General features: G+C 35.2%; 1 protein-coding gene across 5 annotated transcripts in view, besides 1 other annotated feature; it reads left to right on the top strand.

The window, feature by feature from the left end:
- Positions 1-26,118, top strand: part of KCNH8 (potassium voltage-gated channel subfamily H member 8) — a 387,133-nt gene that overhangs the window by 170,739 nt on the left and 190,276 nt on the right. For all 5 annotated transcript variants that reach the window (XM_017005698.3, NM_144633.3, XM_017005700.3 and 2 more), the window contains one exon: positions 23,339-23,466. In XM_017005698.3, the coding sequence (XP_016861187.1) occupies positions 23,339-23,466 (128 nt within the window). The remainder of the gene's footprint in view (positions 1-23,338; positions 23,467-26,118) is intronic.
- Positions 14,396-14,896: an enhancer, noted in NCBI's record as "OCT4-NANOG-H3K27ac hESC enhancer chr3:19375136-19375636 (GRCh37/hg19 assembly coordinates)". NCBI's record gives its function as "activates a minimal SCP1, AML or CMV promoter by ChIP-STARR-seq in naive H9 embryonic stem cells {active_cell/tissue: H9 hESC(naive)}" and the evidence as "EXISTENCE:reporter gene assay evidence [ECO:0000049][PMID:30033119]".

The raw sequence follows: 26,118 nt of genomic DNA on the forward strand, positions 1-26,118 counted from the left end.
TCTAGAAGAGTTTTTCTGGTGTTATCTTCTAGAATCTTTATGGTTTCAGGTTTTACATTTAAGTATTTGCACCATCTTGAGTCGATTTTTGTATAAGGTAACAGAAGAGCATCCAGTTTCATTCTTCTACACGTGGCTTGCCAATTATCCCAGCACCATATGTTGAATAGGGTGTCCTTTCCCCACTTTATGTTTTTGTTTGTTTTGTTGAAGATCAGTTGGCTGTAAGTATTTGGGTTTATTTCTGGGTTCTCAATTCTTTTCCATTGGTCTATATGCCTATTTTTATATGAGTACCAAGCTATTTTGGTGACTGTGGCCTTATAGTGTAGTTTAAAGTTGGGTAATGTAATGTCTCCAGATTTGTTCTTTTTGCTTAGTCTTGCTTTGGCTAGGCAGGCTCTTTACTTGGTTCCATATCAATTTCAGGATTGTTCTTTCTACTTCTGTGGAGAATGATGGTGGAATTTTTATGGAAATTGCATTGAATTTGCAGATTGCTTTTGACAGTATGGTCATTTTCACAATATTGATTCTACCCATTCATGAGCATGGGATATGTTTCCGTTTGTGTTGTCTATGATTTCTTTCAGCAGTGTTTTGTAGTTTTTCTTGTAGAGGTCTTTCACCTCTTTGGTTAAGTATATTCCTAAGTATTTTAATTTTTTGTAACTATTGTAAAAGGGGTTGAGTTCTTGATTTGATTCTCAGCCTGGTCACAAGTTTATAGCAGAGATACTGATTTGTGTACATTAATTTTGTATCCTGAAATTTTACTGAATTCATTTACCTGTTCTGGGAGTTTTTTGGATGAATCTTTGGGGTTTTCTATGTATACGTTCATGTCATCAGTAAACAGCAACAGCTTGACTTGCTCTTTACTGATTTGGATGCCCTTAATTTCTTTCTCTTGTCTGATTGCTCTGGCTGGGACTTCCAGTACTATGTTGAATATAAGTGGTGAAAGTGGGCATCCCTGTCTTGATTCAGTTCTCAGAGGGAGTGCTTTCAACTTTTACACTTTCAGTATAATATTGGCTGTGGGTTTCTCAGAGGTGTCTTTTATTACCTTAAGGTATGACCCTTCTGTGCTGATTTTGCTGAGGGTCTTAATCATAAAGGGATGCTGGATTTTGTTGAACCCTTTTTCTGCATCTACTGAGATGATCATATGATTTTTGTTTTTAATTCTGTTTATGTGGTGTATCATATCTATTTACCTATGTATCCTTAATGTATACATACCTATGAATGTATCCCTACATTACTGGTATGAAACCCACTTGGTCATGGTGGATTATCGTTTTGATATGCTGTTGGGTTTGGGTCACTAGTATTTTTTTTGAGAATTTTTGCATCTGTGTTGATCAGGGATATCTGTCTATAGCTTTCTTTTTTTGTTATGCCCTTTCCTGGTTTTGGTGTTAGGGTGATATTGGCCTTATAGAATGATTTAGGGAGGATTCCCTCTTCCTCTGTCTTTTGGGATAGTGTCAATACGATTGGTACCAATTCTTCTTTGAATGTCTAATAGGATTCAGCTGTGAATCTATCTGGTCCTGGAATTTTTTTTTTGTTGGTAACTTTAAAATTACCGTTTCAGTCTCTCTGCTTGTTACTGGTGTGTTCAGAGTTTCTATTTCTTCCTGGTTTAATCTACGAGGGTTGCATATTTCCAGGAATTTATTCATCTCCTCCAGGTTTTCTAGTTTATGCACGTAAAAAAGGTATTCATAGTAGCCTTGAATGATCTTTTGAATTTCTGTGATATCTGTTGCAATATCTCCCATTTTGTTTCTAATTGAGCTTATTTGGATCTTCTCTCTTCTTTTTGGCTTAATCTTGCTGATGGTCTATGCGTTTTATTTATCTTTTTAAAGAACCAGGTTTTTGGTTCATTTATTTTTTGTATTTGTTTTTGTTTTAATTTTATTTAGTTCTGCCCTGATCTTTGTTATTTCTTTTCTTCTGCTGGGTTTGGGTTTGGTATGTTTTTGTTTCTCTAGTTCTCCGAGGTGCGACCTTAGATTGTCTATTTTTGCTCTTTCAGACTTTTTGATGTGAACATTTAATGGTATGAACTTTTCTCTTAGCACTGTCTTTGCTGTATCCCAGAGGTATTGATACATTGTGTCACTATTTTTCAGTTCAAAGAATTTTTGAATTTACATCTTGATTTCATTGTGGACCTAATGATCATTCAAGAGCAGGTTATTTAATTTCTATGTATTTGCATGGTTTTGAGGGTTCCTATTGGAGTTGATTTCCAATTTTATTCCACTGTGGTCTGAGACAGTACTTGATATAATTTCTATTTTCTTAAATTTATTGAGACTTCTTGTGACCTATCATATGGTCTATCTTGGAGAATGTTTTGTGTGCTGATGAGTAGAATGTATATTATGCAGTTGTTGGGTAGAATGTTCTGTAAATAACTGTTAAGTCTATTTGTTCTAGAGTATAGTTTAAGTCCATGGTTTCTTTGTTGACTTTCTGTCCTGATGACCTGTCTAGTGCTGTCAGTGGGGTATTGAAGTCCCCCACTATTATTGTGTTGCTGTCTATGTCATTTCTTAGATCTAGTAGCAATTGTTTTATAAATTTGGGAGCTCCAGCGTTAGGTGCATATATATTTAGGATTGTGATATTTTCCTATTGGATCGGTCCTTTTATCATTATATAATGTCCTTCTTTGTCTTTTTTAACTGCTGTTTCTTTAAAGTTTGTGGGTTTTTTTGTCTGATATAAGAATAGCTACTACTACTCATCTTTGGTGTCCATTTTCATAGAATATCTTTTTCCACCCCTTTACCCTAAGTTTACATGAGTCCTGACATATCAGGTGAGTCTCTTGAAGACAGCAGATACATAGTTCATGAATTCTTACCCATTCTGACATTCTGTATCTTTTAATTGGAGCATTTAGGCCATTTTCTTTAAATGTTAGTATTGAGATGTGAGGTACTATTCTATTCATTGTGCTATTTGTTACGTGAATACCTTTTTTTTCATTCTGTTATTGTTTTATAGGTCCTGTGAGATTTATGCTTTAAGAATAATCTATTTTGGTGTATTTCGAGGATTTGTTTCGAAATTTAAAGCTCCTTTTAGGAGTTCTTGTAGTGCTGGCTTTGCAGTGGTGAATTCTTTCAGCATCTTTTGTCTGTGTCTGGAAAAGACTTTATCTTTCCTTCATTTATGAAGCTTAGTTTCACTGCATACAAAATTCTTAGCTGATAATTGTTTTGTTTTAGGAGGCTAAATATTGGACCCCAATCCCTTCTTGTTTGTAAGCTTTCTGTTGAGAGATTTGCTGTTAATCTGATAGGTTTTCTTTTATAGGTTATCTGAAGCTTTTACCTCACAGCTCTTAAGATTCTTTCCCTTGTCTTGACTTTAGATAACTTGATGACTATGTGCCCAGGCAATGATCTTTTTACAATGAATTGCCTAGGTTTTCTTTGAGAATCTTGTATTTGGGTATCTAGATCTCTAGCAAGGCCAGGGAAGCTTTCCTTGATTATCCCCTCTAACATGTTTTCCAAACTTTTAGATTTCTCTTCTTCAGGAACACCAATTATTCTTAGGTTTGGTCTTTTGACATAATCCCAAACTTCTTGGGGGCTTTGTTAATTTTTTTATTCTTTTTTCTTTGTCTTTATTGGCTTGGGTTAATTCAAATGCCTTGTCTTCAAGCTCTGAAGTTCTTTCTTCTACTTGTTCAATTCTGTTGCTGAGACTTTCCTGTGCATTTTGCAATTCTCTAAGTGTGTCTTTCATTTCCAGAAATTGTGATTGTTTTTTACGTTTGCTATTTCATTGGAGATTTTTCCAGTCATATCCTGTATTTTTTTTATTTATTTAATTGGATTTTACCTTTCTTTGGTGCGTCCATGATTGGCTTAATAATTGGCTTCTGGGCCGCACACGGTGGCTCACGCCTGTAATCCCGGCACTTTGGGAGGCTGAGGCAGGCAGATCACAAGGTCAAGAGATCGAGACCATCCTGGCTAACACAGTGAAACCCCGTCTCTACTAAAAATATAAAAAATTAGCTGGGCGTGGTGGTGGGCACCTGTAGTCCCAGCTACTCAAGAGGCTGAGGCAGGAGAATGGTGTGAACCCGGGAGGCAGAGCTTGCAGTGAGCTGAGATCGCACCACTGCACTCCAGCCTGGGTGACAGAGCAAGACTGTGTCTCAAAAAAAAATAATAATAATAAAATAAAATAATTGTCTTCTGAATTCTTTTTGTGGCAATTCAGAGGTTTTGTCTTGGTTTGGATTCATTGCTGGTGAGCTAGTGTGATCTTTTCGGGTGTTAAAGAACCTTGTTTTGTCATTTACCAGAATTGATTTTCTGGTTCCTTCTCATTTGGGTAGACTATGTCACAGGGAAGATCTGGGACTCTTGATTGCTGTTCAGATTTTTTTGTCCCACAGGATGCTCCCTTGATGTGGTGCTCTTCCCTTTCCCCTAAGGATGGGGCTTCCTGAGATCCGAACTGCAATGATTGTTATTTCTCTTCCGGATCTAGCCACCCAGTGGAGCAACTGGGATCTAGGTTGTTACTGGAGAGTGTCTGCAAAGAGTCCTATGATGTGATTCGTCTTCAGGTCTGTCAGCCATGGATGCCATCACTTGCTCCAGTGGAGGTAGCAGGGGACTGAAGTGGACCCTGTGAAGGTTCTTGGTTGTATTTTTGTTAAGTGCACTGGTTTTATATTGGTTGGCCTTCAGCCAGGTGGTGGCATTTTCGAGAGCACATCAGCTGTAGTAGTATAGGATCAGGCAGTGGGTGGATCCATAGAGCTCCCAAGAGATTATGTCATTTGTCTTCGGCTACCAGGGTGGGTAGAGAAAGGCCATCCAATGGGGCAGGGTTAGGTGTGTCTGAGCTCATACTTTCTTTGGGCAGGTCTTGGTGTGGCTGCTGTGGCTGATGGGAGTGTGGTTTCCAGGCGAATGGAGTTATTATAGAGACTGGGCAATTTATAAAGGAAAGAGACTTAATTGACTCACAGTTCCACATGGCTGGGGAGGCCTCGGGAAACTTACAATCATGGCAGAAGGTAAAGAAGAAAGCAAGTACCTTCTTCACAAGGAAGCAGGAAAGAAAGAAGAGTAAAGGAGGGACTTCCAAACACTTACAAAACCATCAGATCTCATGAGAACTCACTCACTATCACAGGAACAGCAGGGGGAAAACCACTCCCATGATTCAGCCACCTTCCACCAGGTCCCTTCCTCAACATGTGGGGATTATATGAATTACAACTGGAGATGAGATTTGGGTGGGGACACAGAATCAAACCTTACCATGAACGAATTCTCACTCACAGTTGCTACAAAACAATAAAATACCTAGGAATACAGCTTGCTAGGGGGGTGAAAGATCTCCATAGGGAGTACTACAAACTACTACATGAAGAAATCAGAGATCACACAATTGGAAAAACATTCCATGCTCATGGATAGGAACAATCAATGTAATTAAAATGCCCATACTGCCCAAAGCAATTTATAAATTCAGTGCTATTCCCATTAAACTACAATTGACATTCTTCACAGAACTAGAAAAAAAAAATGTTTTAAAATTCATGTGGAACCAAAAAAGGGCCCAAACAGCCAAGGCAATTTTAAGCAAAAAGAACAAAGCTGGAGGTATCAGGCTACCTGATTTCAAACTGTACTATGGGGGTACAGTAACCAGAAGAGCATGGTACTGATGTAAGAACAGACAAATAGACCAATGGAACAGCATAGACAACTCAGAAATAAGACCACATGCTTACTTAAGATCACTAAGCTATGTGATCTTCAACAAACCTGACAAAAACAAGCAACAGGGAAAGCACTCCCTATTCAATAAATGGTGCTGGGATAACTGGCTAGCCATATGCAGAAGATTGAAACTGGACGTCTTCCTTACACCATATTAAAAAATTAACTCAGGATGAATTAAAGACTTAAATGTAAAACTCAAAACCATAAAAACCCTGGAAGACATCCTAGGCAATACCATTTAGGGCATAGGCATGGGCAAAGATTTCATGATGAAGACACGAAAAGAAATTGCAGCAATGACAAATGGGACCTAATTAAACTAAAGAGCTCTACACAGCAAAAGACACTGTCAATAGAGTAGAAAGATAACCCAAAGAATGGTGGAAAATTTTTTGCAAACTATGCATCTAACAAAGGTCTAATATCCAGCATCTATAAGGAACTTAAACATACTGACAAGAAAAAAACAACCCCATTAAAAAATGGGCAAGGGACATGAACAGACACTTCTCAAAAGAAGACATACATGTTGCCAACAGTCATGAATAAAAGCTCAACATCACTTATCATTAGAGAAATGCAAATCAAAGCCACAATGAGATAGCATCTCACAACAGTCAGAATGGCCACTGTGAAATGTCAAAAAGTAACAGATGTTGGTGATGTTATGGAGTAAAATGAATGCTAATACACTTTTGGTGGGAGTGTAAATCAGTTCAACCAGTGTGGAAGACAGTTTGGCAATTCCTCAAAGACCTAAAGATAGAAATACCATTAGACCCAGCAATCACCTTACTGAGTACATACCCAAAGAACTGTAAATCATTCTATAATATTATAAAGACATGCACATGTATGTTCATTGAAGCATTATTCGCAATAGCAAAAACATGGAATCAACCTAAATGTCCATCAATGATAGAATGGACAAAGAAAATGTACATATACATCACAAAATACTATGCACCCATAAAAAAGAACAAGATCATGCCTTTTGCAGGGACATTGTTGAGGCTGGAGGCCATTATTCTTAGCAAACTAATGCAGGAACACAAAACCAAATATCACATGTTCTTACTCATAAGTGGGAGCTAAATGATGAGAACTCATAGACACATAGAGTGGAACAATACACACTGGGGCCTATAGGAGGGTAGAGGATGGGAGGAGAGAGAAGATCCAGAAAAATAACTAAAGGATACTAGGCTTAATACCTGGATGATGAAATAATCTGCACAACAACCCGTGCCCCTGCCTGCCATGACACATTTACCTATGTAACAAGCCTGCACATGTACCCCTGAACTTACAATGAAAGTTAAATATATATATATATATATATATATATAATAAATGATTATGATTTATTTTGGAGGTAATGGTGTTGATATTAACTAGACATGACCAGAGCCAAGGCTCTGCAAAATCATGAAGTGTCTCTGGTACTTTTTAAACTCCTTTTTCTGAGTCAGGCTTAGGTAAAATCATTCCCTTCATTCTGTGCCAAATGTTGGTATTCTATTGATTGTCAACTAATTCCTGCTAAGCAGCTATTTCTTCCAGAGAGTATTTATATTTTAATAGAAGTAGCTGTTAATATCAGATATAGGCTCCAGTTTTGAATAAAGATAGAGACTAAGGTGGCACTACCCTCCTGCTATGCCTGTATTTTCCTGATGACTTGTTCTCTCCATTTCAAGATCCCCAAACTCATTGTACCAATTAGTCTTTGCTGCATAGCAAATTTCCCCAAAACTTGAAAAATTGAAAACAAAAATAGTTTTTATATTTTATGATTCTGTGGGTTAGCTACGTGGTTCTTATGTTTCATATGGTATTGGCTGGATTCATTCATGTAGCTGCTATCAGCTTGGAACTTGGCTGGGGACAGAATATTCTGAAGGACTTCATTGATATATCTGGTGTCTTAACAGGGCCCTTAACTGGGGAGGGTAGAATCACTGGGGGTCATTCCATTGTCTAAGATGTCTAGTTCTCTCTCTCTGTCTTGCTTTCTCTTCTTATTCATTAGTTGAGCTTTGAGACTTTACATAATGGTTGGATCTCAAGAGGGCACATATGGAAGCTGCGTAAGTCCAGAAGTCACACACAGTCTTTTCTGCCATACTTTAATGGTCAAAGAAAGTCACAGGACCAGCTCAAATTCAAGGGGAGAGAAAACAACCTCTATCTATTGGTAGGAAGAAAAGCATATATGAATAAGAATGTGATGGCTAATTGCTGGCCATATTTACTTACTTAGTTACTTAGTTTTGAGACAGGTTCTCACTCTGTCACCCAGACGAGTGCAGTGGTGTGATCTAGGCTCACTGCAGCCTTCGTCTCCTAGGTTCAAGCAACTCTCCTGTCTGAGCCTCCCAAGTAGCTGGGATAACAGGCACACACAACCATGTCTGGCTAATTTTTGTAGTTTTAGTAGAGACGGGGTTTCACCATGTTGGCTGGTCTGGTCTTGAACTCCTGACCTCAAGCAGTCTGCCAGTCTCAGCCTCCCAAAGTGCTGGGATTACAGGCCTGAGCCACCATGCCTGGCCCCATGGCCATAATTATAGACAATCTAACCTTTTATTACACTTTCCACCTTTTTCTCCTATCTTTCCTTGTTTATTTTTCACGTCTCTCCTGACAATTTCAGTGATGTCACTGGTTTCTCAGGTTATAAGGAGTGAGTGTTGTCATCATTATTTCTAATTCAGTATGCCTAGTGGAAAAGACACAGGTTTTAGAAACATATAGACCTCCAAATCAATGCCGGGTCTACTTATTTCTAGCAATATGACACTAAGCAAAATATGTAAGCTCTTTTACCTCAAGTCTTCTCTTCTACTAACTAATAGAGGGGACAAAACTTACCCCAAAGGGTTAATATTAGATTTATATTAATATAGTTTATGCCTAGTGATTAACTGAAACTTAAGAGATGCTCAATAAGTGTTACTTTATTTCTTCCTGTTTCTACATGTCTCTCTCTCTGTCTCATTTTTTTTCTGTCCCATTACTTTTCCTAGAAGAAAAACATTTTTGAAAATTTCTAACCACTGTTTATAACAAACATATTTGTCGTAAACTTACTGATAATGTTCAAAAAATGCTTCAAGATGTATTAAGCATTTTGACAATTACTGTTCTCTTATGCTGGATGCCTTATTCTTTCCTGAGTTTGCCATGTTATTGCTACTACTAAGCCTTGGCTCATACTTTCCTTTTGCCAAATAAACTATCATTCCTAAATCCATATGAAATTTTTTCTTTTTCAGAAGCATTGTCTAATGTTTCTGATGGTTATTAATAGTATTTGTAACCTTGTATTTTAATCTATTTGTTTCCAAACCGTTTCCATCAGTTTTATGCTCCATGATGAATTTGGGGGTCTTTTAAACCATGTATCCCCCACTACACATTTTAAATTTCACACACTGTAAATAGAACTAAACAACTGGCAATTTTTCAATAACAACATGTTGAATTGCACAACCAGAAGAGCAATAAAAATTTGCTTTTAGGGCCATTTTTTCTATGAAAGATTCCAGAGACAGCGTTAGTCAATGTCTTCATAAATTCTGTGGAAAAAAATATATAAATAGAAAGTAATAGCAATGATTAGGGACAAGTGAGTGATTGCAATTTTTGAAAAGAAAAAATTGAGAAAAACACATTATCTTTCTTGATTCATACATTATTTTGTGTGATTAGAATTTCCATAAAAGAAACTCCTAACCGATATTTGACTAAGCATTAGAACAAAATAGTGAATAAAAGAATCCTATTTCTGTCATATTATTATGCTTGCTATGGATACAATATGCAGGGACTTTTTTTCTTTTGGTGGGTGTTGCTGGATGATTTCTTTATTTATGTCCTTGATAAATACTGTCAGAAATATGTTCTAAAAAGTAAATAACCAAAGGATAGTTCTTACCAATCCATTAGAGATTTTATAGCTAGTACCATTTGTTTGGTCTTTCTGTTTCTAAAAGCTTTCTTTAATAAATACATCACTACAAATCCAAAAGCAGAAGTCAGATAACATCTTCCTCATCTAGATAACCCCAATATTTCTTTTAAGAGTTAGGATTCCAATGTGCCATAACCAGAAGGGCATTCCGAGGCTTCCCCACATTTCCTCTGTTTATGGAGACAGCTGTTTCACTAACTTGCAGCTCTTGTAAATGCTTTGAAAGCTGATCACATACTATATTCTTGACTTAATACTTTGGTAAGCCTGGATATATATCTTTCTATAAACCTCACCTAATCTTTGATATTACTATAACTTTATCTTTGCTTGGAAAGCACACTCAGAAGGCTTCATCACCAAGATTTTGGGAGAGTAAAGCTAAGTGTAGTTGATGCAACATTGTAGAAACAGCATAGGAACAATAAGAACAATAGGTAAAGCTATAATTATGGCTTATATTTAGAAATGACCACATTTGATATTTTAGGATATTTTTCTAGGTTTTTTTCCTTTCATTTTATTCTCTTCTAGTTTTGACATTTTATGATAGATTTGCTCTCTAGAAGGGAACGTCTTTCTTTAGGAGGGTAAAACTTTGGTCTTAGCATTCACTTTTGCTATTCCGATCTACAACTGGAAGATACATAAAAGTGCTTTGCATTGCAAATTTGGGATAACTTCAAAAATCCCATGGTTGATGTTAGGGATAGCACTAAGCATTTCAATTCCAGGAGAATAAAAGAAATTCCGATTTGAAATGAATTCCTCATTTGGAGGGAAAAAAAGCATGCATTCTGGCACAACAAGATCAAATTATGGAATACACAAGTGGCTCCTTCCCATGTGCAGTCCCTGTCCCCCGTCCAGTCCTCTGCACACCCGAACTGTTTCTGATTGGCTTTTAGCTTTTTTTTTTTCCTTCTAACACTTGTATTTGGAAACTCTTCTGTGATTTTGAGAAGTATGCTTTTGAGTATTTAATGAAGTTTTTTTCTAAAAGTAAAAAAAAAAGGATTGAATTCTTTAGCCTATTATGCAAGATCTCTAATAAATTTTGCTGAAAGTTTACTCTCAATTTTGTCTCCCGCAGCATCCATTACACACCACCACGCATAATGTGTGTAATATTTTTCTCAAATGATATTCTAACATTTTTGTTCAAGCGTTCTCAGTCTAGAATTCTCTTTCTTCCATAAGCTTGGCCAAAAGTATGTTTTCTAGGCTCAGACCAGAGGCCAGTTTCTCTATTGATTTTTTCATTGTTCTTATTCTCCCTTATAAATGTCTTCCTTATATTCCACAAATACTTCCATTTAGTGCTCATATGTACCACCATATCCTCAATTACGTCTATTTTTCCAACCATATATGATCTAGACGAAGTCAGAAATTGTTCATATGAGCTTGATGTCTCACAGTATCTTCCTTGTAACTGATTGGGTTATAAAAAGACAATGAATTTCCAGCACCTATTGTGAAACTGTTGTGGGAGTCATATTTATTTTTGACATTTAAGTTGAATTGAAGTTATTTTAATATTGGGAGCATCAAGTTATTCTGAAATTGTGCCATTTGGGGGCATTACAAACACAAGATTTGGGAAATACTATCAGGAAGTTAATGCAAGGAGTAGGAAAACCAAAATATTCCTTTTATTCTTAACCACTAATAGGGTAATTTTTGGTTTTGTTTTGGTATCATATAGTACAAACATAGGAGGGTCTTCCCATAGTCAGGACTTCCTAGGCAAATTTTACGATATTTTTGTAAGGAGGAAAATTCTCATTTCCTCATAACTTATTTAAATTTAGAGGATCACCTATAGGCAAAGGATAATCATGTATTGTGATATGCCTAGTTTTTTGAACTACCTTTCAAAGCTAAATTCCATCAAACATTTTCTCAATTTTTTCTTAAAATGTCATGTTCTCTACTGAAGAAGTAAGATTCAAAATTGCAGTATCTGCCATCTTCCCAGAAAGACATAAATCTCCAACCAATGATACCAAATAATAATCAGTTCACTGTAGGCAGACTATTTCTTACAAGGTAGTATAAAGTTTTTCAAAAATCAAAATTCATACTTTGTATCATTTTCTAATACTGGGGGGAAGTTTTTTTTGAGATTTTTTCTTATAATCTAAGTTTCTGGCTTTCTGACGTTGGTAACAATAATAGCTACATGTTGACTTTGAGAAGATTTAGATTTTGAGATGGACTTCTTTCTTTAATTATTTTTATTTATTTATTTATTTATTTATTTATTTATTTATTGTTGTTATTATTATTATTATTTTGAGATGGAGTCTTGCTCTGTCGCCAGGCTGGAGTGCAATGGTGCAGTCTCAGCTCACTGCAACCTCCGCCTCCCAGGTTCAAGTGATTCTCCTGCCTCAGCCTCCAGAGTAGCTGGGCCTACAGGTGTGTGTCACCACGCCTGGCTAATTTTTTGTATTTTTAGTAGAGACGAGGTTTCACCATCTTGGCCAGGATGATCTTGATCTCTTGACCTCATGATCTGCCCGCCTCGGCCTCCCAAAGTGCTGGGATTACAGGCGTGAGCCACCGTTCCCGGCCAATTATTTTTAATTTTTATGGGTACATCATAGATGTAGGTATTTATGGGATGCATAAGATATTTTGGTACAGGCATACAATGCATAATAGTCACATCAGGGTAAATGGAGTATCCATCCCCTCAAGCATTTATCATTTCTTTGTGTTACAAACATTCCAATTATACCCTTTTAAGTTATTGTAAAATGTACAATAAATTACTATTGATTGTAATCACTCTGTTGTGCTATCAAATACTGGCTCCTATTTATTCTATCTAACTATATTTGTGTACCACGGTGAGTCTTCTATCATGATGAAAGTAACTGTAAGTCAAATACAATGAAATACCCAGTCTCTGAACTGTTTTACTTGTGAAGATCCATATTCAAAATGGCCAATATCAGAATATTTGGTAGGAGAAATTTTTTTAAGTATTAGTACTTTAAGGATGTATATATCACCTATTTTTGCATTACGTTAGTTTTTTTTTTTTTTTCACATACACTTCACGTGTGTGAACTAAACTGACTCAAGATTTCAGGCCTACTTCCTTAGATTGGGCAGTTTCAGGTTCACTTACAGTTCTCCAGCCCAGCAATAAACATTGCTTTGCTTTTGTTAAAAATTCTATCACTACAAAAATCTCCCTTTTGCTACTCTTTTATTACAGTCATACCAACCCCATCACCCTCTACCATCCCTAACCCTACTACTGCTAGTCTGTTCTCCATCTACAACATTTAGAGAATGCTATAATGGAATAATGCAATGTGTAACCTCTTGAGATTAACTTTTTCCACTGGACATAATGCCCTGGAGATCAATTCAAGTTGCTGCCTACATCCATTGTTTATTCTTTTTTAAGTCTGAATTGTATTTCATGGTATAGATAGACCAGTTTACTTAACAATTGTGCACAGGGCTTCATGAGGACATGCTTTCATTTCTCTGGGATAATTGCCCAACAATGCAATTGCTCACTTGTATGTTAAGTATACGTTTAAGGCTTTTTTCTTCAAGAAATTCCCAACCTATTTTTTAGATTGACTGTTTTTCTTTTTATTTTTTTTCTTTTGTTTTGAGACAGAGTCTCCCTCTGTCCCCTAGGCTGAGACAGTGGCACGATCTCAGCTCACTGCAACTTCTGCCCTCCAGGTTCAAGCGATTCTCATGCCTCAGGCTCCTGAGTAGCTGGGATTACAGGTGCACGCCACCACACCCAGCTAATTTTTGTATTTTCAGTAGAGACGGGGTTTCATCATGTTGAACAGGCTGGTCTTGAACTCCTGACCTCAAGTGATCCGCCCGCCTTGGCCTCCCAAAGTGCTGGGATTACAAGTGTGAGCCATTGAGCCCGGCATAGAGTGACTGTTTTACTTCACATTTCCACCAGCAATGTGTGAGAGATCCAGTTTCTGCACATCTTCACCAGAATTTGATACTGTAACTATTTTTTATTTTAGCTGTTGTGTATTGATATCTCATATGGTGTCTATTGATATCTCATTGTAGTCTCAATTTGCATGCCCCTAATGGTTAGTGTTTTTAAACATCTTTTCATGTGGTTATTTGCTATTCTTATATCCTCTAGTGAAATGTCTTTTGCTTATTTTCTAATTGGATTGTTTGGTTTTCTTATTGTTGAGTATTCAGAGTTCTTTATATATTCTACATCTAAGTCCTTTGTCAGATTAGTGGTTTAGAAATATTTTTCCCAGTATGTAATTTGTACTATAAATGTGCTAATTTGAAGCTTCCATATACTATTAAAATTTAACAGTAACCGTGCAATTGTTTTGAACCTAAATCAACAAAAGATTTTTTGTTTAGAATTGCAAATGCATGGTAAGAATACAAAGCTGACCAAATGTAGTTGGATTTATTATTGTTTTTAAATTTCTGCAGACAACACTTCCCCTGTTGCCTACACAGGTTTGGAGTGCTTCCCCTGCCCTGACTCTGGCAGTATGCTATTGCTCTTGCTAGACCCAGAGATTAGCAGGTTTTTGTAACACTCTCATAGTAACAAAATTAACAATAGACTGTTGTACAATTCAATACGTGGAAAATGATAAAATATACAATCCATATACTTTTCTTTAAAAAATGACAATGTATTCCAGCCAACAGAAACAATTCAAAATTGTAAACTTAAGAATGTGGAAGATATAAATTTGTGTCTTTCCTTAACAAATTTGGACCAGTTATATATTAATCCAGAAGGATTCTTCAGTTCACAGTGTAAACAACACCCTTCATCAATTCTCTACATGATTCCTCTTTCACTTGTAGTCATTTTTGTGTATCAGCAAGTAGTTTTTCTGGGGCACACTTTTTCCCCCACAGTTCATACAGGAAATTTTTTTTAAGCAGCACTTTTGGGATACAAGTTTATGTAAAGGAATAAAAGGAAGAAGAGTGGGCAGAGGGACATACTGGGCTGCAATGCAGTTATAAGATATTTGCTGACTCCATGTTCACCAGCAGCTAAAACTGGGTGCTCTGCAGAGTTGTCTCGAATTGGGCAGAGGCCCCTCATTACAGTCCCGTATGGACCGTCATTGAATGCAGGATATTCTGGGAAGAGTCACTCACTTCACCTGAGGGAAATTCATAAGTGGACTGAGGCCTAAGAGGTGATGGTTCTGGACAGGTACACTCGCAGCAGCTATAGACTCCAGGCTTTTAGTCCTGAGCAGGCATCTGGCCAGTGTAGCATAACATGCGCTACAACTCAGCAAGCAGAACCTGTCTTTTTATTTCCCATCACAAAAGCAAAGCTTCAGGAGGTCGAGGCTATAGCTTGCGATGATTGCACCTATGAATAGCCACTGGACTCCAGCCTGGGCCATACAGCAAAACCTCATCTTTAAAAAACAGAACAAAGCAGGGCTTAATTTGTGGCCATTTGCATTTCAAACCTTTTAATAATGATTACATATATATATGATGTATATATTCAAAATTTATATTGAATAAACTGAGTCACAGGCTTTTTTTTAATTGAGCAAAACTAAAAGTCCAGTCTCATGTTCATTGGCAGATATTTTCCCCTTAAATCCTCTTTATATCTAGGATCTATAATTATTCCTGTGTTAATTATGTTTAAGATTAGTTTATATGAGGTCAGTGATGTTAAAAAAAAAAAAAGCCTAGAACAAAGCCAAAAAATAAATTCACCAAATGTTAAATTATTACTGGAAGATGGTATTATGAAAGAGATTCATTTCCTGCTTTACACTGTTTTTCACTTCTAAATTTAGTAAAATGCATATGTATTATTTTTCATATTCAAGGAAGAAATGTGTATATACTATTTAATTGTAGTTAAGCTTATAAAACATAAATGCAATAAAAATTTGGAAGGAAATGCATGAAATTCTTGGTATTGAAGCTAATCAGGCATTCTTTCTTTTTTATTTTTCTGTATTTCCCAATTTTCCATAATGAGTTTAAATTACCTTCATTCTCTCTCTCTGAAATATATATAATTTTTAGATTTTAGCCTTTTTATAAGTTACAAAAACTGCCACCCCTCTAAATAAGGCTGTTTCCTTAGTTACTGTTGAGTATTTTTAAAGAAGATTCCTTCTATTGCTTATTATAAAGACCTTTTTAAAAAACACAAATGTTTACTGAGTTATATGTAAAATTTGGTATTTACTGAGATGGTCATGTGTTTTATTTTTATTTACAGATCTGCTGAATTATATTGATTCCCTAAAAGGGAACCACCCTTAGCATAAATGCTACATGAGATTGATATATTTTTCTTTTAGTGTACTTCTATATTCAGTTTACTAATGTTTTATTTAGGATTTTTGCATCTATAAGTGAAAGTAGTATATGTGTGTGTATATATATGTGTGTGTGTATATATATATGTGTGTGTGTGTATATATATGTGTGTGTATATATATATATATATATATATATACTTTTTATACTCATCTAGTTTTGGTACCAAGTTTTCCAGAGTTGTAGATGTATTCAGAAATTTTTTGGCTCTTTTATTCTCTGAAGTTGTCAAAAGAATTATTTGTTCCTTTAAAGCTTGATAACCTTGACTTTAACACCCTCTGAAATAGGCCTCAGAGAGGGGTGGTAAGTGACATGAGATGGTCTTTTTCTCTGCTTCTTTCCACATTACTGGTCTATTCAAAATTTTTACTACTTTTTGGAACTATTTTGGTAATTGACTCCTGCCCTCAAAGTATTCATTAAATCTAAAAATAGAACTATGAAAATACAATTTTCTACAAAGTAATTTTATAATTTTTAAAGTCTTCCAAATTCATGATCTTGTTTTCATTCTGAATATTATTTGTGTTGGTCTTATTTTTTTTCCTTGGATACAGTTGCCAAAAGTTTAATTCTCTTATCTTCTTTCCATTTAATTGGCCACCTTTTAGAAAAAAATGTTGTTTTCTGCTTCATTTATTTTTTTGTTTCTATAACCTAGTTTACTCTTTTTTATTGTTTTCCTATTAAATTACTATATTTATTTGGTATCTTAAAGTTCTACATATTTAACATTTTAAATATATAGTTTGTTTCATGTATTAGATATTTTTATATCATGTATTTTGTAATAGATACATTTTAGGTATTAATTTTTCTCTCATTCATCTGATTACATCCATTGAGTTTGGATATCAAATATGCCTATTAACATTATTTCTTTTTAAAAACAGTCTTTTATTTCCAAAAGTCTATAAATTTACTAATTTCTCTTAATATAAAAAATTATACAAAAATTTAGTAAATCAAAATAGAGTTTGAGCCATTATATGGAGAATTGTTTTCATACACATGACTTCTATTTTTTGGAATATTTTTGAAATTGCCTTTGCAGAACAAAATCAACTGTTATGAATGTTCCATGAGCATATGAAAAGAAGAGAAATTCTTTCTTTGGTAGATACCATAGATATTCATTAATTATAGATAATTATTAACATTAACATTATTAATGTATTAACATTAATAACATGTAAATCAATGTATTAACATTCCCTATAATTTTATTTATTTTTTGCCACCACAGCTATCAATTTCTGAGACAGATGAAGTTACTTCACTGTGATTTTGGATTTTCAGATTTCCTGTGTTTTTAACGTTTTTCAATGCTATATAATTTAGAACATAAAAATTTATAACTTTATTGTAATTTTTTAAAGAGGACTTTTCCTTTGCATCTTGAACTAGAAGTTTCTGCATTGATATTTAAATGGGAACAAGTGCTCTGTTTTTTTAAAAAGCATGTTATAAAAGTAGTTTACAATGTAAAAGTAGGGATATGAGAGAAAGTGGAAAGGAAATAAAACCTAAAATGACAACTGGAGAGAGAGTATATTTCAGCGTATGACCTTTTTAGTGCAAGAAAGAGAGCAAAATAATAGAAGACCCTTTCTAGCAGAGAAAATAATTCCTGCCTAGGAGAGATCCATTTTGACCCAACATGATAACACAGATAAGTAAAAAAATCGGACAGGCTCACAGCTCAATGATCTATTATTTACTATGTTGAGTTGGAAAGAACATGTGATTTCAAGCAAGTTCATTGAGAATTCAAATATCAGCCCTCCCACTTACTGTGTGAATTTGGACAAGTACACAACTTTGATGATCTTTAGGTTTGTTTTATGCTTTTTTTTCCCTTTCAGTTAGTGGAAAAACTAATGCCTAACAAAGTGAGTATTAAAAAAGAACCAAGACAAAGTTCCTGGCATAATGCCTAGAACATGATGGAGGTTAAGAGAATATTGCTAATACATGATGTTTTGTTCAGAAGTCCTAACTCAGTGGAGTCTAATCATAACTTTAATTTTTTTCCTGGAAATTTTCATCTCTCAGTGTTGCTTAGTAACTAAAATGGCTTATTAAATTATCCTGCTTACTGACCACTACCTCCTCCTCTTGTATTTTACTCATTTACCTTCATTGACCTGATGGCAATTGAAATCTTCACCTTTTTCATCACTGAAAGAAAAAGGGAGGGCCTAGATTTTCTCCTTTTACTCCGAACACTCTTACTAGATAATTTCATAATCAACTAAGTGACAAAGCCAGGCAACTTTTATCTCTGTACGTATTTCAAATGTGCCAGCTTTGCTCCATGTCTACTGCTAGCTACCACTTTAGTCTAAGCCTTACCATGTTTTTACTGATCTACTAAAACAGGCTCCTGAGTAATCTCCTATCAACTTCTGTTGTCTCTTTCTAATAAAATCACACATTACAAGTCAATTTCTTCTTTTGAAAACTCAAATGTTCTCATGTCATTTGAAAGTTTAAAATCTTGCTGTTGCTTCATGTGCTCCAGCACCGTAGCTTGCTAATCTCTGCTCTGTTATAGGAAACAAGAAGAGGGTGAGGGAGACAGAAAAAAAAATAAACACACACACACACGCAGAGAGAGAGAGGCGGGGGGGGGAGAAAGAGGGAGTTATTCTTCTTATTCAAGTCGCTACAAATATATATTCTAGGCTTTGAAAAATAATTTAGGCTTTTTTATTTGTTTGTTTCCTAATACTTTTATCACTGCACTTATAGTCAAGAGCAAAAATTCTAGTGTGGCTTCAAAGGCGCTGGATGAGCTGTCTGACTTCTGCCTACCTTCTAGTTTCCCTTTTTACCTCTCTTCCTTCCTTTCATCATATACTAACTCTTCTGGACTTTCTTCAGTTCTTCAAAGATGCTGAACTCCTTTCTGTCTGAGATCCTCACACCTTGTCTTTGCTCCTCGACCCTATCTTATTAACAACTATTGATTCTTCAGATTTTAGCCCTCGGTCATCCATATCAAGCAGTTTGTTCCCTACCACCACCACCACTACCACCACCACTCTGTATAATTTTATCAGGTTTCACTGTTAAATGGTTTGATATCACTTTATTATTGTCCTTTTTGTGGTGAAATAATTTTACATTAAAAATATATATGAAGTATAAAATAGTATTACAAATCATTATATACCCCCAATCCAGTTTAAGAAATACAGCTGTACTAATACCATTTAGTAAGGCACGGTGGTCAACTGGATATTGTATTTTCTAGCCTCTTGTGCAGCTGGTTGTAGTCATGTGATTACATACAGTTTTACAGCAGTTGTACATTTCTCTAAACAATATATCATTTAGTTTTACATGTCTGTGAATATTGTTAAAATGTTGCCATGTTTTCTGTGATCTTTCATTTTTTGCTTTTGTACTCAATATTATGTTTTTGAGATATTTCTGTTAATAGGAAGACACTGTTTCATTCATTTCCCATTTATTTCCTATGTAAGTTCAGTTTAATGGAATTATGATATTCTAGGTCATTACTATGCCTGTATGCATTGTTTTATATGTGGACATTTGGCTTATTTCTAGTTATACATACACAGACACCCATATGTTATGTATATATGTACGTACTGATGTGTTTGTGGTTTATGTAGATATGCAGATTAGAAATATTGCTGTCAGGAATATTACAGTAAAGTAGAATGATTTTCAACCCAATCTTGCATGAGGGTTCAATTGTGACTAAATATTTTCACAGAAAACTTTTTTTCTTCCATTTAGAGTCAAGACTAACACAGATTATTCTTTGACACTTCCCTTTGAGGGGACCTTTTCTAAGATGATAAAATTGCAATTATTTGATTTGGAAAATCTGTTATTAATTAGATATCTCACTGAGAAGGGAATTGGCTTATTGACTGTTGTAAATATCTAAACCGGTTCATTTTGTAGTTAGCATTGTAATTCCACTTGACATTTTGAAGCCAATTGATATGGTATAAGCAGCCTGTTGGCCATACCTACGAAATTTCTGTAGAGATTGTCTGAAAACTCTGGCTGTTTTCAAGTTTAAATATATTTAAAATTACTCCTTGCTGGAGTAGTAATTACATTTTCAAATGTAGTTTACAAAGATTCTATGTAAGTCAAAAAATTTAACACACGAAGATATGATCTTAACTTTTCGCAGTAACAATGAAATGTGCTTTGTTCAGCCACAAGTTTTTAAAAAGTGTCCTTTTTGATATTATTCTGAGTGTTTTAAAATCTACTTTTAGTGATTCAAGTCTATAATAATGTAGCAAATTTTATTTTCAATATTCTTTCAAGTATGTAGCAAAGGTGAATGCTTTTTTTAAAAGTAACATTCAGTTAGACTTTTGCGGTGAATTAAACACCCCATTTGCTGGTCATTAAAGCATCCCAGAGTGGTGTGGGAATTTTGGAGGTGGGGGTAATTAAAGTCCGTGAAAGACTTGGAGTGAAGTCTCAGATGGACAGGAATTATAATACCTGTTACTCTATGTGAAAGTCGATAAAAAGCAGCAGTCCCGAACACTGATTGAAGTCACTAAGAGACTTGGTTCTGTGTGTGGAAAGAAGAGGGACTCAAGACCTATCTGACTTCACATAACGACTCTACTCCTGTTACTAGATGTGTGACCATCTAATGTGTTATTAGACCTTCAGTTTTCTCGTCTGTAAATGGAGAATAATAATACTTATTTCATAGGATATTTATGAGGATCAATTTTAATAATAAATTTGGAAGATCTAGAACAGAGCCTGGCGCACAGTAGGCATCAGCAACAGTCATATGGCTTCCATGACATAGCAACTAAACCAAATTATTTTTATGAAGGGGAGATATCAAAGAGCTTTTATAATAGTAGAGAGATTTTATGATGAAGCTTAAATAAACAGATTTTAATGTTTTTGTATTTTGCAATAATTGTGACATAGATTCAATTTATTTTTTTTATTTTTTTTTTAATTTTTTTTTTTTTTATTATACTCTAAGTTTTAGGGTACATGTGCACATTGTGCAGGTTAGTTACATATGTATACATGTGCCATGCTGGTGCGCTGCACCCACTAACGTGTCATCTAGCATTAGGATTCAATTTATTTAGGATGAAATTGTATGCTGACCATTTGATCAAATAATGACTAAATATTTCTTAATGTAACATAACCACTTTATTTATTTTTCTTGAACAGTAGCCTTTTAGAAAGAAAATAATATAGCTAGATCCTTACTTTTTGTTACTAAAATATAGTGCAATTGGATTAAAAATTTAAATGTTAAAACTTTTTAAAGTAAGGGCAAAGTATATTGGAAGAAACTTGCATATATTTTTGTGTGACAACAGTTTGGCTATGCAGGGCATAATGTCTAGACACCAGAAATAGAAGGATATGTCTGACTAAAACCAGTGGCAAATCCATACAGGTCTGCAGCAAACTCAGTGCTTGCCTTCTTGGAGGAAATAATTCAGCCAAGGGGCAGAAGTAGGTTTAAGGCAGAGGGAGAGACCAAGGCAAGTTTTAAAATTGAGAGTTTATTAAAATGTTTTAGAGCAGGAATGAAAGGAAGCAATGTACACTTGGAAGTGGGCCAAGCATGTGACTTGAGAGATCCAAGTTCCCTGTTCGGCCCTTGACTTGGTGTTTTACACATTGGAATGGTTCTAGGGTTTCCAGTTCTCTTTTCTTGATTCTTCTTTTGAGGTGGGCTGTCCACGTGCACAGTGGCCTGACAGCACTAGGGAGGGGCTGCATGCACAGTGTGTTTACTGAAGCTGTGCACATGTTCACTTGAGGTGCTTTCCCTTACCAGTAGTGCATTGCCAGAGGAAGGTTATATACTGGTTAAACTCCACCATTTTGCCTCTTAGTGTGCATGCTTGAGCCCACTCCTTCAACGCCTAAGATCACCAGCTCAGGTGTTTTCTATCTATCAGGAGACTATCTTTCACTAGCGCTGGCTGTGGCCAATTATCATTTCAGAGAGACAGTTTAGCAACCACCAGACCATCAACTAATGTTTGCTTGACATTTCTGGGGAGGTGGTCCTCTCCTGCACTGTTCATGTCTGACTAACTACCTACTCTAACATGACAACAGATACTTTAAAATTTGTAAACTGCATAAACAAATTCCAAAGTCAAGCAACAAATTGGGAACATTTTTGGTGGCACATATGATGAGAAAATGGCCATTACTTTCGTATACAAAGAGCTATTGCAAATAAATTTAAAAACACTACTTTGATTCTAAAATTGACAAAAATGAATAGACCAGAAAAATCAATACAAATGAACAATAAATATTTAAAGCATGCTCATCCACACTCATGATTTTTATAATATAAATTAATATGGCATTTTTCAATTATCCAAATATTGGCCAATATTCATTTGATAGTTTATAGTTTTGGCATGTGTGTGGTGAAGCAGGCACATCTATTCACTTGCTGGTACTGTAAATTGCTAGAATGAAATTTGGAATATGTATACCAAAATTTACAATGTACATACCACTGCCAGTAATTTATTTACTGAATAAACTCAAAACTGTATGCATTTAAGAATTTTCTTTGCAGGATTGGCCACACAGATTTTGACAAAAAATCTTAGATAAATCTGAATCTTCATGACAGTGAAATAGTAAAATTAATAAGGTTAGTTATAATCTTAACATAGTATGCTATTAGCCATTTAAAAAATAGAGAACTATAATATGCAAATATGGAATGATTTACAAGTATTTTAATGTGAAAAAAGTAATAAGTAAACAGTTTTCACTGTAAACTTACATTTATGCAGAGAAAAAATAATTGTAAATGTGGATATAGGGTACATATTAGAAATTTTTCTGGAAAGAATGTTTTTAAATGTTGAGAGTAGAACTAGGGATTTCAGTGTAGAATAGCAGGAAGAAAGGAGTAATACCCATTAATGATTTCCTGAACTATTTTAAAGTTCTTCTGTGTTCATGTACGTTTTACTTTAATTTTTAAAAATTAATGCAGTCAATATGATGATAAAAATATATAAATCATAAAGGACTAAAATTAAATTAAATGTCATTAGGATCCAGCAGATTATTGTAGGTATTGGAAAACATGTACAATATGCTCTTGAAAGGGAACTGTCAAAATGACATTCTTGAGGTGAAATGATGCATGCATGTGTGTCTAATGAGTTTTATTTTCCCCCAGACAAAGTCAAAGGAAGATCAAGAGCAGGGACCCACTTTGACTCAGCCCGGAGACGGAGTCGAGCAGTCCTTTATCACATCTCTGGGCACCTGCAAAGAAGAGAAAAGAACAAATTGAAAATAAATAACGTAGGTGGTATGTGTGTACAGGATGAATGCTAGTGTTTCCCCTGGTGGCAATGTTTGACTCGCTAAAGAAAGGCCTCAATTACCCATTTATTGGCTTGCCTAGATTTTTTTTTCCACTTTGGTTTGTGCTTTTCTATAAAGAACAAACTGGAAAAGGTCAGCAGTCATGAGGCATTTCTATAATAAAAGTACTTAATCATAGTGTTATCACAGCATAGAGATTAGAATATTATTGCAGTGAAGTACAATATGGTACTAGGGACACTGCAAATGGGGACGCACTGGTTACATTTTATGAAACAAAAATGATGCAGCAAGTCGTATTACACATTCATAGTTTATTGGTTAAAATTTCTCAAATTTAATTTTAGTTCCATCTGTTTTGCATATTATCTAGTTCTACAAATGCTTTTATCCAGGAGGAACATGACCAAATCAAAGTCATTACTCCATTAAAAAACTTACATTTTATATAAAACACAGTTGAAAATTTCACAGTAAAACACTGGATTTACAATTGCATACCATACGTTAAATAATTTGGGAAAGTCACACTTCTAGTAAATTACAATAGAGTTGCTTTCTGAAATATGGTGTCTTACCTGTCAAAGCCACAACAAATAACTATGCCTGTATAAGGAGTTTATTTCCTATTTTACATGACATATGTCTTCCAGGATTTCACACTGAATTTTGTAATTGGTTCTTAGCACTAAGACTTCACTGAGAAACCTAGAACAATGTCTCTTTAGTTGTAGATACTCAAAGTTTTAAGATAATGTTAATGTCATTAATTTGCCTTATGGAATCATCAGAACATGTATGGGGTGTTGTGTGACCATAGGTGGCAGATTAAATACCAGCATCTAACTTGCCAATGACAAGAAAAAGTCACATGAAACAACCAGATCTATTTTGGAATCGATTTAAGATCCAGAAGTTCTGGGAGTTAAGGACAGAGAGGGGATCCTTTGGCATTTCATTTTTAACATAGCAAGCTCAAGGACTACCTAATCCAACATACACATGCTTTGATAAAACAGGACCATTCATCAGACATACGAAGTATTCATTTCTGATTGTAGTGAACAAAGAAAGATGTATGAGCCCAGGGTGAGGAACGAGATCTGACATGAAAGTGCTGCAAACCTGGCTGTACTTCAGTGCAACTTTCTGGAAGCCAAAACAAGATGTTTTGAATCATTTGTCCTCCAAGGACCATCAACCATGTCCGTGCTGGTGTGCCATGTACCACTGTGGTCACGCTTTGATTTTTTTTTTTTTTGGTCCTAATTCAATATAAAGTTTCTCTAGGGATACCTGTGCCTTAGTGTTATATTGATTTCCTGGGAGTCCAGGGAGAGGCTTGAAACAGTGCACACCACTTGATCTATGGATCCTTCCACTGGTGCCTATTTACATCCCCTTTCAGTTACCAAGTCAGCCTTAGTGACATAAGCAAGTTATAAGAAGAAACAAAGGTAACCGCATCTGGGCTTGATTCCATGCAAATCAACCAGCAAAGCACCTAAACAAATATTATCCACAGATTCTGTAAGGCTGAAAGCTGACACTGTCTAGCTTTTAGTGGAGAATTTAAACATAGCAAGTATTAGTGAGCTTTAAAATGCATTTGCTGGGCATGCTATTTTTCCCTTTAGATTCAACAAAGTACAAAGCAGTACTTAAAAATCTGATTTCAAAAAAACTATAACTCCCACTACTTAGCTAATTTGCTTAATTGCCATTCATTTAAGAAATACAAACATCAGAGTAGAGCATTAAAATAATACATAGTAATTTAAGATGCCTAACAGCCCAGTGACTCTAATACTACAGGTAATATCTTATTCCTGAAGCAAAGTATGGAATCAGGACTTGCCCTGTTCACGTGTTCACCATCTCCTTTCAAGGATAACATAGTAGAATGGCTAAATGGCAGATAGAAGGAAGGCAGAAGGGAGAAGAGGAAATGACTTGTATAGTTTATTGAATAAACAATAAATTTTCTGGAAATTCTGGCTGTAATAACATTTGCACACACAAAAAATAATTCTTAACATTTTATAGCCCTTTGCTATTTACAAATTCCTTTTACTTACATCATATTATTTGATTCTTATAGCAAGCCAGTACTAGGTCTGATTTTTATTAGTCCCATTTTAATGATGGAAAAAAACACAACTTATTAGAAGCAGCAGTTGTGGTACCCAACCTTTAATCTTCTAATTCAAAGCCACTGTGCTTCTGACTCTTACCTTGCTGCTTCTCGGATACAGTTCTGTGGAACAGGAATATATGCTTCAGCCATAGTCAAATGAACTCGTCAGGTCATTAGCAGGTTTGGGAATCAGGATGCAACATATTTTAGTCTGGCTCTAACTTTGCCTGGTATACCTTGAAAAAGGTGTTTTCAAATTCTGCCTTCCTTGATTGTTATTCTGTCAATCAAATGAGAATGATATGATGCAAATGTTTTCAACACAAAGAAATATTAAAGATCACACTAGAGCCTTGAAAACTTGAAAGGAGAGTGCTACAAATGCATTTTTCTGGCGGGGACAGTGGTGATCAGCAAAGGCATACACTGGGTTTAGATTACTCACTGAAGTGACTGTAGAAACATTTTCACATTCTCTTGCTCATTCAGAT

This window comes from Homo sapiens, chromosome 3, assembly GCF_000001405.40.
Source record: "Homo sapiens chromosome 3, GRCh38.p14 Primary Assembly".
In the NCBI taxonomy this organism is placed as follows: domain Eukaryota; kingdom Metazoa; phylum Chordata; class Mammalia; order Primates; family Hominidae; genus Homo; species Homo sapiens.